This window comes from Homo sapiens, chromosome 10 (assembly GCF_000001405.40).
Source record: "Homo sapiens chromosome 10, GRCh38.p14 Primary Assembly".
Classification (NCBI taxonomy): Eukaryota; Metazoa; Chordata; class Mammalia; order Primates; family Hominidae; genus Homo; species Homo sapiens.
The window spans coordinates 82,964,859-82,977,489 of record NC_000010.11 but is presented as its reverse complement, the minus strand read 5'-3'; the positions used below and the strand labels follow the sequence as shown (position 1 = coordinate 82,977,489).

General features: G+C 37.6%; 1 protein-coding gene across 26 annotated transcripts in view; it reads right to left on the bottom strand.

Moving 5' to 3' along the window:
- NRG3 (neuregulin 3) overlaps positions 1-12,631 on the bottom strand; it is a 1,111,986-nt gene that overhangs the window by 9,690 nt on the left and 1,089,665 nt on the right. For all 26 annotated transcript variants that reach the window (NR_163251.1, XR_001747009.3, NR_163252.1 and 23 more), the window contains one exon: positions 3,575-3,702. Coding sequence is in view for 22 of the 26 variants with exons in the window: in XM_017015573.3 (XP_016871062.1) it covers positions 3,575-3,702 (128 nt within the window). In the remaining 4 variants the exon portion in view is untranslated. The remainder of the gene's footprint in view (positions 1-3,574; positions 3,703-12,631) is intronic.

The following is a 12,631-nucleotide window of genomic DNA, read 5'->3' as shown; positions in this document are numbered from 1 at the left end:
CTACAGGTGCCCCCCACAATGGCAGGCTAATTTTTGTATTTTTAGTAGAGATGAGGTTTCACCATGTTGGCCAGGCTGGTCTCAAACTCCTGACCTCAGGTGATCCACCCACCTAGGCCTCCCAAAGTGCTGGGATTACAGGTTTGAGCCACTGTGCCTAGCCCCTATACCTTCATTCATTATATGGTGTGTCCCCAAATGCCTAACAAGGGATGTCTAGATAGCTCACTAAGCCCACAAGTTGGAGAAGCTCTCTAACAGCTAATTTGCTTCCTTGCCTTCCTACTTTTATCTACCATCCAATGGCAATGATGGGGTCTGCGGGGCCTGAAGCCTTGGATGCTAGAGTTGGCTGCAACTGAGTATAAGTCTCAGGTCTGCAGGTAACTAGTTACTGGAAGCATGATGCTGATGGAGGTACTTGTACCAGTCAGAGTCCTGGAGAGACATAGATGGCACTTTAACCTGGTTCATTGTTAGAGATTTTGCTATATACAAAAGTGTGATAAGTGTTCGAGGGCAAAAAAAGCAATAAATGAGACTGCTGTGCCCCAGGACTACTATGGGAAGCTGTTATTATCCCTCTGACTTAAGGGACAAGGAGAGGGAGCAGTTCCCAGAATGCAGAGAGAAAGTGAGTTGTAAGGAGGGGGCCGCACTGCAGGCTCCATGGCCCCAGAAAAGGGATATAAGGAAGGCAACCAAGCAGGGAGGAAGGGGACACAAGTGCCATGACCTCACTGTCCTCCCTGCCGTCTATCTCATGCCTGTGCCTTACACTGAACCCACAGAAACCAGAGGACATAAGAGCCTGCAGCCCTCTTGGTGTACAGGGCAAGGCAGAAAACAAAAAAGGTAGAAACTAGCTGCTAGAGTGAGAAGGGAGTGACAAAAGGAAGATATCAGCATTCTACTTAAGAATTTTCCTAGGTTCACTATGGGATGTGGAGGTTTAAAGAGAGGAAGTATGCAAAGCATGGGGCATGGAGCCTGGCACACAATAGGTGCTCAGCACGATGAGTTCCTCTATCTCCCCTGCCACAGCTGGCAATTCAAAGGGTCCTCTCTGTCACTGAAAACCCTGGAATTATTTCAATGCAAAAAACCTACATACATGCTTTTTATAAGTGGCATGGTGGGGCACAGTGGCTCACACCTGTAATCCCAGCACTTTCGGAGGCTGAGGCGGGCGGATCACCTGAGGTCAGGACTTCAAGACCAGCCTGGCCAACATGGTGAAACCCCGTCTCTACTAAAAATATAAAAATTAGCCCGGCATGGTAGCATGTGCCTGTAGTCCCAGCTACTCAGACGGCTGAGGCAAGAGAATCCCTTGAACTCAGGAGCTGGAGGTTGCAGTGAGCCAAGATCACACCACTGCACTCCAGCCTGGGTGACAGAGCGAGACTCTATCTCCAAAAAAATAAAATAATAAAAAAAGATAAGTGACTTATATTGCCAAAATATAATGCAATAAATATGACATGCCGTAATAGATTTATTTTCTAAACAGATGGGATTTTTTCGAACTAAACATTAGAAATAATGGCTTTGAATTAATAGCTCTGTTTCATATATGAGTTATCCAAATGAGTCATATTTGCAGTGCACAAAAGAAATTAATTATTCATAGTTCGCTAAACTGTCATAACAACAAAGTATATCAGTATGAACTAGTGACCTGTCTTAAAAAGAGTTTTATGCCTATTGATCAATCAGCTATTCAGGCCTTCTAACTCAGTGGCATTCAGGAAGTTATGGTGCAGTTTGCAGGATATATAAATCAGTGCCTGGGTTATCGATCATGAAAACGTTCAAGTCTATTGCATGTTTTACAAAACAAAAGCTATGATATATTAAACTATAATTTACAAAGTTCTAAAAGCATTTTGTAAGTCAACGCTTGCCCATCTATCAGGACACAGTGTATGCCAACAGATACTGCAATGTCATTGATCCAAACAAAAAGGAAGGTCTCTTAAAGATGTCCTTATTTAATCTGTGAGTGACTCCTAGACACCATAGGAGAAGCCAAGTTTAGGAGGGAGCATAAAAGCACACGAGAACTGGGGATAGGAATATTGCAGCTCAAACATATTAAGAGCTGATGTTTTAAAACATATATATCAATTTTAAAACATTTATGACAGAATACAGTTCATATAATACTAGAATGATATTATACTGAATTACTTGACTAGGTGGAATACTACTTTAACGTGTCATAATCAGGAGGAGAAAATACCATTTGGGAGAAAATATCTGTCTTCGAAAAGACTGGTAATATTGGACTTATTTCCCTAATTAAGAAAACTTCCATTAGGTCCAGTGAAATGAAATGCTCTTTTCACAGGAAAATATTCTGTAAATGCAACATTGATATAAATCAAAACTTGCAGTAAGAATAGCTAAAGCAATTATCCAAGAGCCAAACATATTTCAATCCTGAATTGAACATAGACTCATACCATATTCTTTTAAATGGCAAACTCTCAGTGTTCTAGTCTCTACTCATGTAGAATGAGAATAAAAATTACCATGAAGTGCTGAGGATTAGTGTCAAGAGTGACTAAAAATCTCAAAGTAAGTGTGGCCAGAAACAATAAAATCCTCTTCATGTAACTCATTAAAAGGTGAAGGAGAAAGTAGTTTTCTTCTATCATGTATGTTTCTGGCTTGGTGTTGTGCAAACTATTGCCCAGCATGTGAAAACAAAGGGGCAACAACATTCAACTTTCATTGCTGGGAACAACTGTTATTTACTTTTTCATTGTTAAAATGTTTAATTTTTCATAATTTTTTCAAATTGTAAAATATTGTACATTTCACTAAGAAAAGGAAGCTTAAGTCTTCGGACAACTTCCATAAAGATTGAGGATGTATATCTGAACACAATCTAGCATTAGTCATAAACTTCATCATTTGGTTTAGAACAAATACCTTTAATATTTGGAGTTTCAGAATCCTGATAACAGAAAAGTGTGGACTAGAAGATGCTGAAGGACAAGTTAAGCTTTAGAATGCTATGAAATGTGTCAAATAACTATGTTTTTGGCTTTTTCTCCAAAGCAGCCAATTTCTGGGAAGCTTGCAAGAAACTGCCACCTCATTTATAACAGAAGATTTTATAGACCCAAGAAGAAGATTCACCAGGCTTCTTCCCCGTGGAAAATTTTATTTTGTAAGAACCATATTGGAAAACCTGAAGTCTGTCACATTAGGCTGCATAGGGAAGAATTACTCATTAACTGTGTAATCTAGAAAAGGCAGGCTAGATAACATATTTTTTAAAATAGTTTTTCAGAATGCATTTTTTTTTTTTACTGGTCTGTAACTTTGATGGGTGTTATCTATAGTTCTATCAGGTTTCTTACAGAGGCAATGCTGTCTGCTGTGGAAACTGGTATCTTTGCTTTACCTGATGTGAGGTGTTTGAGCATTTACTCCACAGAGAACTACAGGAGAAGCAAGAACAGTTGTCTCTCCTAAGTCATGCTGCCAGTCCTTGGCATGTGCCACCCAGCATACACACAGTGTGAAGGTGCCCACACCCACCATGATGAGCTACTTGTACCTGTGGTGTTTGACAGACTGGCTTCCTCTGTCAGGAGAAGGGACCTCAGGGAATGACTGGGGGCCGACAAAACTTGACTCCATCATTTTCTCCAATGCAGTCACAGGATGCCTTTCCACCTTTGAATACTGTGGGAAATCACACGTACAGAGTTGAGACGAAGGATACATTATGGAGGGCCTATAACACCAGAGCTAAGCATTGAGAAGTTACTGGAATGCCAGTTCCTCCTGGTCACCTGACTAGAGGAGCAGGAGATAAGACATAATTTGTGTCCTGTTTCCAATACATTGAGTATTCACCTCCCCTGCCCCAACCATCTCTGTGCCTAGTCAGGATCCATTGAAGAGGGTTCTTCATGTCAGCATCCCAAGCCTGCTATCTCATTTTAATTAATGCACACCCATGGCACACTATGACTGACAGCCAAAAGGCACTTACAAGTATGTTTTAGTTGATGTACATCTTACCAAAAAAATTGAATTACTAGCTGGGTTACTAATAATAAGGATTGAATCAACACTTATTAAATTTCATAACATTCTGAGAATGATGAAAGACATTGGTTCAGAATATCTGGCCACCACATTCCACTGTTTTTCTCTTTCAGCTTGTTACCAGGTAGTTACCATGTTTAACAAGAGAATTTGTGAGCATTTCACTCCTTATAGTTCAGAACTCTTGGTTTCTCCTTTGACTATAATAGCTTATAAGATATAGAAGCCTAAAGAAGGCTTATGTAGATGACAACTTCAGAAAAATTTTACCCCAAAAGAAATATCACATGGCATCTCAAGAGCCAATAAGTTGTCAACTTTAACACTCCCTGCACACTGGGCGCTGGAACAGGTGGCAAAAGGTAGAAGAGTTCTCTTCTAGAAACTCCAGGTGAAGACTTTCTTTAGAAATAGAAGTTTAAGGATGCTAATCAAAATAAAAGAGAGTTTTGAATCTGGATATTCAGTACCCAATGTGTCAAGCTACAGATTTTAAGTGTTAACCTGAGTAACTGTAAAACTCTAAAACTCAGTATACCTTTTTTTTTCTCATTTCAAAAGCAAAGAAGCCAGTATTAGAAGCACTGATAAAAAAAATCAAGTTAATCAACCTTTTTGAATCTCACATCTATATGGTGAGATAATAAAATCTCTCTTATAGGGTTGTTGAAAAAATTCACAGACAATACTTAATGCACTTGATCCAGGTAAAAAGAAGGTAGATACAATAATTAAGATGATACTCTAAGATGTTTCCTAGCCTTTTAGAAATGTTATCTCTGAACTATAAAAAACTAAAGATAAATTCCACCCTAAGTACCATTTCTAATCAATTGGTAGTGGCTGCTTGTAGTCTTATATTTACATAGATTCTAAAGATGACTTATGAAGTAAGAAATGGAGAAAGAAATAGTTCTAACCGAAGAAAAATGAATCCAGGAGGAAGGAGTGGAAGATATTTTATTGTAAGCTCTTTCTTAAAATGTCGGCTTTAAAATTAATGCTTGAAAGTAAAGTCCAAAGAATTTCAACATGGCTGGAAGATATTGATAAGAAAAAGAACATAAAAAGAGAGAAGAATGAACATTTAAAAACAAAAAATCCTAGCTGGGATTGTTGAGAATAAAGACAATGTAATATATGCATGCTGATTAATTTTAGACACTGATGAACAAAATATATATATTTAAGTATTAGAAATTAGACAGCACTAGAATATAAGAATTGTGTAATATACAATACATGAAAAAACTAAACTAATATTAATTCAACAAAAATTAATAAGGGGGTTTGTAACAAGAGAGCATGGTAAATTGGAAATAAATGTGACAGGAATAAGTGTGAAACTATCAGTGATGATAAAAACTGTGGATGGTTAGATTTAACTATTAAAAGACAGATTCATACACTGAATATCTGGTCTTCTATGTTCTGAAAGAGCTAATTTAAAAACAACAGAGAAAAAAGTCGACAGAATTGGTAAAGATATACCCTGCAATGTACAGGTGAAAAAGCTTTTAACAGTAATAATTTCAAATAAAATATAATTATGTATAAAATGCATTTTAAAAGGAAGAAAGATGGATATTTCATATTCATAGAATGAGCAATCTACCAAGTGATAAATATTCATAAATTTTTATCTACCTAACAACAAAGCTTCACTATGAAAGGCTTTCTCAGGCTAGGCACGGTGGCTCACGACTGTAATCCCAGAATTTTGGGAAGCTGAGGCAGGCAGATCACCTGAGGTCAGAAGTTTGAGACCAGCCTGGCAAACATGGTGAAACCCTGTCTCTACTAAAAGTACAAAAATTAGCTGGGCATGGTGGCATGCGCCTGTAATCCCAGCTACTCAGGAGGCTGAGGCAGGAGAATAGCTTGAACCCGGGAGATTGAGGTTGCAGTGAGCCGAGATGGTGCCACTGTACTCCAGCCTGGGTAAGAGAGTAAAACTCTGTATCAAAAAAAAAAAAAAAAAAGAACGGCTTTCTCAACTAGTCACGAAAATTATAAACCATTAACATTGTCATAACTTAATTACCTATGAATTGTGGCAAGGAACATAACTATGGATAACAGTAAAGTATAATTTTAGTTCAATTTATATTTTTAGATTTTGATAAAGAGAAGTGATATAGTTTGGATATTTGTCCCCTTTGAATCTCGTGTTGAAATTTCATCCCCAATTTTGGAGATGAGGCCTGGTGGGAGGTGTCTGGGTCATGGGGGTTGATTCTTCATGAATGGTTTGTATCCTCCCTGCAGTAATGAGTGAGTTCTCATTCTATTAATTCATGGAAGAACTAGTTATTTAAAAGAGCATGGCACCCTTCGCCTTTCTCTTTTTTCTCTCTCACCATGTGACACCTGCTCCCCTTTCCCTTCCGCCATGAGCAGAAGCCTCCTGAAATGCTCACCAGAAGCAGATGTTGGCACCATGCTTCTTGTACAGCCTACAGAACTGTGAGCCAAATAAACCTCTTTATAAATTAACCAGCCTCAGCATTGCTTTATAACAAGGCAAACAGACTAACACAAGAAGATATGAATGAACTCTTTGGATAATGGAAATACATTCAAAAACCTTTATAAAACTATATGGGAGATGTATTCCTAACCTTATGGGAGAAAGACATTTGTTACCAGGACAAAACACCTAGAGACCATAAAGAAAAAAATATGTAAAATTTGATTTACTACTAATTTAAATGTCTTAAGTAACAAAAATGATTATTAGTAAATCAAAATATAAGTAAAAGCCTGGGGAAACATAGGCTATTCTTATGTTAAAGACTATTCTTAAGATATAAAGGCAGAAATCAACTGGAAAAAAATGAAAGGCAACAGGTGAACAAGAATTTCACAGAAAAATAAAGACAGGCAACATACATATGGCAAAGAGTGCAACTGCACTCATTATAAAGAGGTGGTAATCAGAATAGAGGAAATTAAGCTAAGTGCAGTGGTGCACAGCTGTAGTCCCAGCTACTTGGGAAGTGGAGGTGGGAGGGTCATTTGAGCCCAGGAGTTAGAGACTGTAGTGTGCTATGTGATTAGCTATTGCACTCCAGGCTGGGCAACATAACAAGACTCTGCCTTTAAAATAAATAGAGAAATTTAAATTTCAAGAATATCTGATAAAGGAAAAGGCCCTGGAAAAGTAGCCGTGGTGCTAACTTGAAGAGCAAATTGACAATATGTTTCAAAATTTTAGATATACATACTCTTTGATCCAAAATATTACTTTTAGAATTTCTATCATGCAAATTTCCATAATTGCAAAAGTTCAAAATAATAATTTCCAGGGTACATCAGCAGCACAATTGTCCATAACGAAACGGAAATAAACACAAAAGTGAAAAAAACTCAAAACAATAGAAATGTCCATAAATGAATACTACACAGCCATTGAAAAGAATAAAAGGCGCAAAAGCGTATGCATATAAATCCATTTGTGTAAATAAGGAAGGTGCAATTAATAGATATAAATAGATTGTGTATATATTTATGTTTATATACACATAATTAGCCTGGTGTTTATATATATACAGATTTTGTATGTACATATATTTTTCTGTGTGCATTTGCATGTGTGTGTTTCTCACGCAATTACTTAGGAGGCAGATTTTTAAGTTAAAAGAAATTATTAACTATCTAATTAGGTGTTATGCTTGGGAAAAAGTATATCCATGAGTATAAGCTATGGAGACTAGGGAACATATCAAGGTTTTGCAGCTTTAAGTTCAAAAGCTCCAATTAAATGTTTTATTTTCAATAACTTCCAAAACAAGCCACATAGTGGCAGTAATGACCATGTCTTGAACCAGAATCCGAATTTTTCACAGTGGACCTATAAAGGCTGGTCAGTCTTTTTGCAAAATGGAGGAAAATGACAGAGAACAAAGAGAAGGTACAGAGATAATTTGGAAAAGGTGATTGTTTTCAACAACCTCAAATAACAAAGATCCAATACATAATGGAAATACCTCTATGTGTGCTTCATTATTGATTGTGTATTGCAAAGTACCCATGGAAAAAGTCAGATGAATGGACATGTTTATTAAAGTGCGATGATATCCTGAATATCTGTCTGACTTTCAGGTCTATAAAAGACATATGAGGGATATAAAAGACATATCTTTTTTTATCTAATAAACTGGTTTACAAGAAAAACCTAGGTGCCTAGAAGGCCCAGCTACAAAAACAAGTGAGATGCTCTGGGCAAATCCATGACAAACTGAAGAAAGCAAGTATGTTCAGCAACTGCAGAGAGCTGTGATATGGTTTGGCTGTGTCCCCACCCAAATTGCATCTTGAATTGTAGCTCCCATAACTCCCACGTGTTGTGGGAGGGACCTGGTGGGAGATAATTGAATCATGGCGGCAGTTTCCTCCATACTGTTCTCATGGTAGTGAATAAGTCTCATGAGATCTGATAGTTTTATAAGGGAAAACCTTTCACTTGGCTCTCTCTTCTCTTGTGTCTGCTGCCACGTAAGACGTGCTTTCCACCTTCCACCATGATTATGAGGCCTCACCAGCCATATGAAACTGTGAGTCCATTAAACCTCTTTTTCTTCATAAATCATCCAGTCTTGGGTAGGTCTTTATCAGCGTGTGAAAATGGACTAATACGGGCTGCCAGGGGACAATATCAGCCAACTATTTCTGGAGCATGCAGATCTTTTAGAGAAACTGCCAAATCACTAAAAGTCAGTAATTCCCTTCCTCCCTCCCTGCCTCCCTCCCTCCCTGCCTCCCTTCCTCCCTTCCTTCCTTGTCAAAAAGCCTAATTCATCTTTTGTACCATTAGTTCATAGTCTCTGCTTAGAATCTGAGAGATAGAGGGCCTTGTCCAAAATTCCGGATAACACTCATAAACAGAATTAACCTCTTAACCTGTTCTGTTTATTCATAGTGTTCATGATAGATATTTCCTAAATCTGTTATTTCATATGTTTGAATTATTGCGATATTAAACAGTTGTTTTTATTTGTATTATTTTGGTCCATTAATATAAATGTGTTTCCAGAATTTATTATTTTAGAACTTTTTTTCTTTCTCTCACAGCATTTTGTTTCAGTGACTACTTGTACCTGAAATTCAAGTTTAAATTGCTGGTATTCCTATCCGGAGGTTGCTTGAAACTTGTGGAAGCATGATAAGAGTCTAATAATTTGACCAACTTCCAAATTATATTCCATACATTTTTGTTGAACATGAATTCAGATAGCTTCTGTGGTTTCAGTTTTGACAAGCTAAGAGTTTGGAAGTCGCTATTCCTGTCCTAGCAATAAGAAAAATAAATGAACAAACTGAAAATGTCTTCTTGTATTCATTGGATAATTGAGGTTGAAGGGCACACTGCCACCTTAAATCTGGAGAAACAGGTGAATACAGAGAATAATGGCTAAGATCAGCTTTTCTGCAACTGAATCTGCTGGAACCATAAATTGGTAGGAATGTTTAAGAAGTAATTTGGACAAGTTGCTGGAATCTGTATGGGCACTAGAACGAGAGTTGGGGTCTGTAGTCTTAGGCAGAATGCCGATACTTCCATGGGTTTGACCTCCAGGAACCACACCAGGTTCTCACAGCAAAGAACCCCAACAGCAACAAAAAAAATCATCTAATGTCTCTGCCAGTGGAAGGGGAAAAGTAACTATTTTGAAATGCACACAGAGCATTCTCAATAACAATTGCCTACTCCTGTAGTAAAAATATTTTACCAGAGCCTTATCTCACCAGAAAGAAGGCACTTCCCCAATTCCTGCTCCCTGTAGCCTTTCCGTCTCACGTAAGAGAGGAAAAAAAGTGAAGAAACACTTCTGAAGGTCACAAGTGTTCAGCAGACTAAAGGCAAAACTACCGCCCAAATGCACCGCCTAGCCATTAAAGTTGAACAGTGCAAAGGTATGGTATAACCATTGTGAGAATGCTTTATGTGTATTCTGTCACTGAAAAAATAAGTAAATGAATAATAGACAGTGGGAAGGAGGTTTTTCACTGTTGGAGTGGAAATTTATAAATAAGCAACGGGAGGAGGGTAGAATTATTGATGTAGTTATGGATTAGATTTGGGGGTAGACATCAATGTAGACACATGTTTAGCAGAATACAGATACAGATGCTTACATAGAAAAATTTAGATATGTGTTAGTCTATATGCAACCTTCAATATATAAATATATCTTTTAATATATGTATTATTTAAATATGTCTTAAGTAGACATATTTAATATATCTATTATTTAAAAATATACATATATATATATATAAAATCTTTGATCTGTCTGTTGAGAAGGCCAAGAAAAGACATCCCTGTAGCAACAATAACATACACACCTAGCTTCCAAATCTCAGTCTCCAATGAAATTCTGCAAAGAAAGAAACTAGCTATTTCCATGGAGAAATGGCTGATTCTAGAACCAAGGCAGAAAATGTACAACATAAGCAAGGAGTGTCTTGTAGTGCTCAACAACAAAAAAAAACCCTGAAAACTTACAGTGAATTGATACATAATGTTAAAATGACATAAGCCAGCTGAAAGACCTATCAATGGCCAAAGCCAGAAAAAACTGATGAGAACGTAACATAGTATTTACTACTTAGATTACAAATCAAAGTATAAAATAGTATCCATGAGTTTATTTATACTGATAAAAATATATGATGGAATAAATAAGTAAATGGGAGAGAAGAGACAACCCCTTTGTGATAGAATCCCAAATAACTTATGTAGATACTTAACCATAAGGAAAGAAGACCGTAACTCCCCACTCCTTAAGAGTGGGCTATGCATAATCACTTCCTTCCAAAGAGTATTCTATGCAAAAGGAGAGAGAAGAAAAGGGTAACTTTACAGTGGAGAAGCTTGGCAAATATTACCTCAGACAGATGATAAGGTAAACTTCAATAATAATAAATCATATTGTAGCGTGTATCTTGATATGACATAATAAAAATGGCACTTTAAAAATTTCTACAGAAAACCAGTAAACCCCATGTAATCATAAGAAAAGAATCAAATTCCAATAAAGGGGCATCCTCCAAAATTCTTTACCAGTACTGATCAAAACTGTCATGGTCATCATAAAAAGAAAAAATCAACAAACTGTCACAGGTAAGGGGAACCTAAGGAGACATGAATATTAGATGTAATGCGGTACCTGGGATTAGAACACAGGCAGCAATCAGGTGAACACTCAAAAAATCAGAATAAACAATAGCAATTGTGAGAATGCCAACATGTGGGATTTTATGGATAATAATGCATTCTTATTAGTTTGTTAGTTTCAGAATTGTGCCCTACTAATATACAAGGTTAATAATAGGGGAAACTGAATACAGAGTATAGAAACTTGCTGTGGTATCCTCTCAACTTTTCTGTAAATTGAAAGCTATCCTAAAATATCAGATCTGCTTAAGAAAATAGAAAATAACATAAATGATTAAAAAAGTACACATCGAAATAAACAAAAAGAATTGAGAGACTAAAGGCAGAATTCAGTCTTCCCTTAATTGCTTGAGTAGCTCAGGTGTAGGCCCTCAAGATGCATACTCCACTCAGCAAAACAGTTCACCTATACCAACCCTCCTGGAAAGTTAGCCTGACTGACCATGATCATAGCTTTTGGACATTTTATGCTCTGTGCTAATATATATATATATAAAGAGAGAGAGACAGAGTCTTACTCTGTTGCCCAGGCTGGAGTGCAGTGTCTTGATCTCGGCTCACTGCAACCTCGGCCTCCTAGGTTCAAGCAATTCTCATGTGTCAGCCTCCTGAGTAGGTGGGATTACAGGCGCCCACCACCACGCCCGGCTAATTTTTGGATTTTTAGTAGGGTCAAGGTTTCACCATGTTGGGCAGGCTGGTCTCAAACTCTTGACTTCAAGTGGTCCATCTGCCTTTGCCTTCCAAAGTGCTGGGATCATACGTGTGAACCACAGTGCCCAGCCCAAAAATATTTATTTTGTTTCCATCCAAATGCATGCAGTTCTATCTCCGAGACAAGCTAAGGTCTGGACAAACTTATTCTTAAGATTGTATCTTCAGTGAAATTTAAGTGCTCAGATTAGCTGCCTGTCTGGATCTCCCTATTAGCATCCTCTACAATGTTACAAAGCCTGGCAGTTGATTCTATGTTATTTCCTTGACACAGATCCTGACTTTATTGTGTGCACATGGTTAAGAGCTCATTTGGTATAATATACAAAAGATCCTGTTAGCAGTGAATAAGGAGATGCCCCAGTTCATTCAATGGTGCTCTCAGCATTAGCTCAAGTGTTTTTTGTTGTTGTTGTTAACTCCTTCATAGGCCCTGGTTAATATTGTTATTTCCTAGGAGAAGCATTCATCCAACTGGCCCCCCTGAAAGTGCCGGCTAATGCAAATGCTCCCAGGTAATGAAGGTATCTCCTCTTGCCCGCCCACCTGCTTTGCTCCTAGCACATTGTAGGTGGTGCACCGAAATCAATAGGCCAGTCAAATGAAGCAGGCGCATGTTGGCAGTAGAATAACAGCATTGTTTCCAGGTCTGCCACATGCACACAG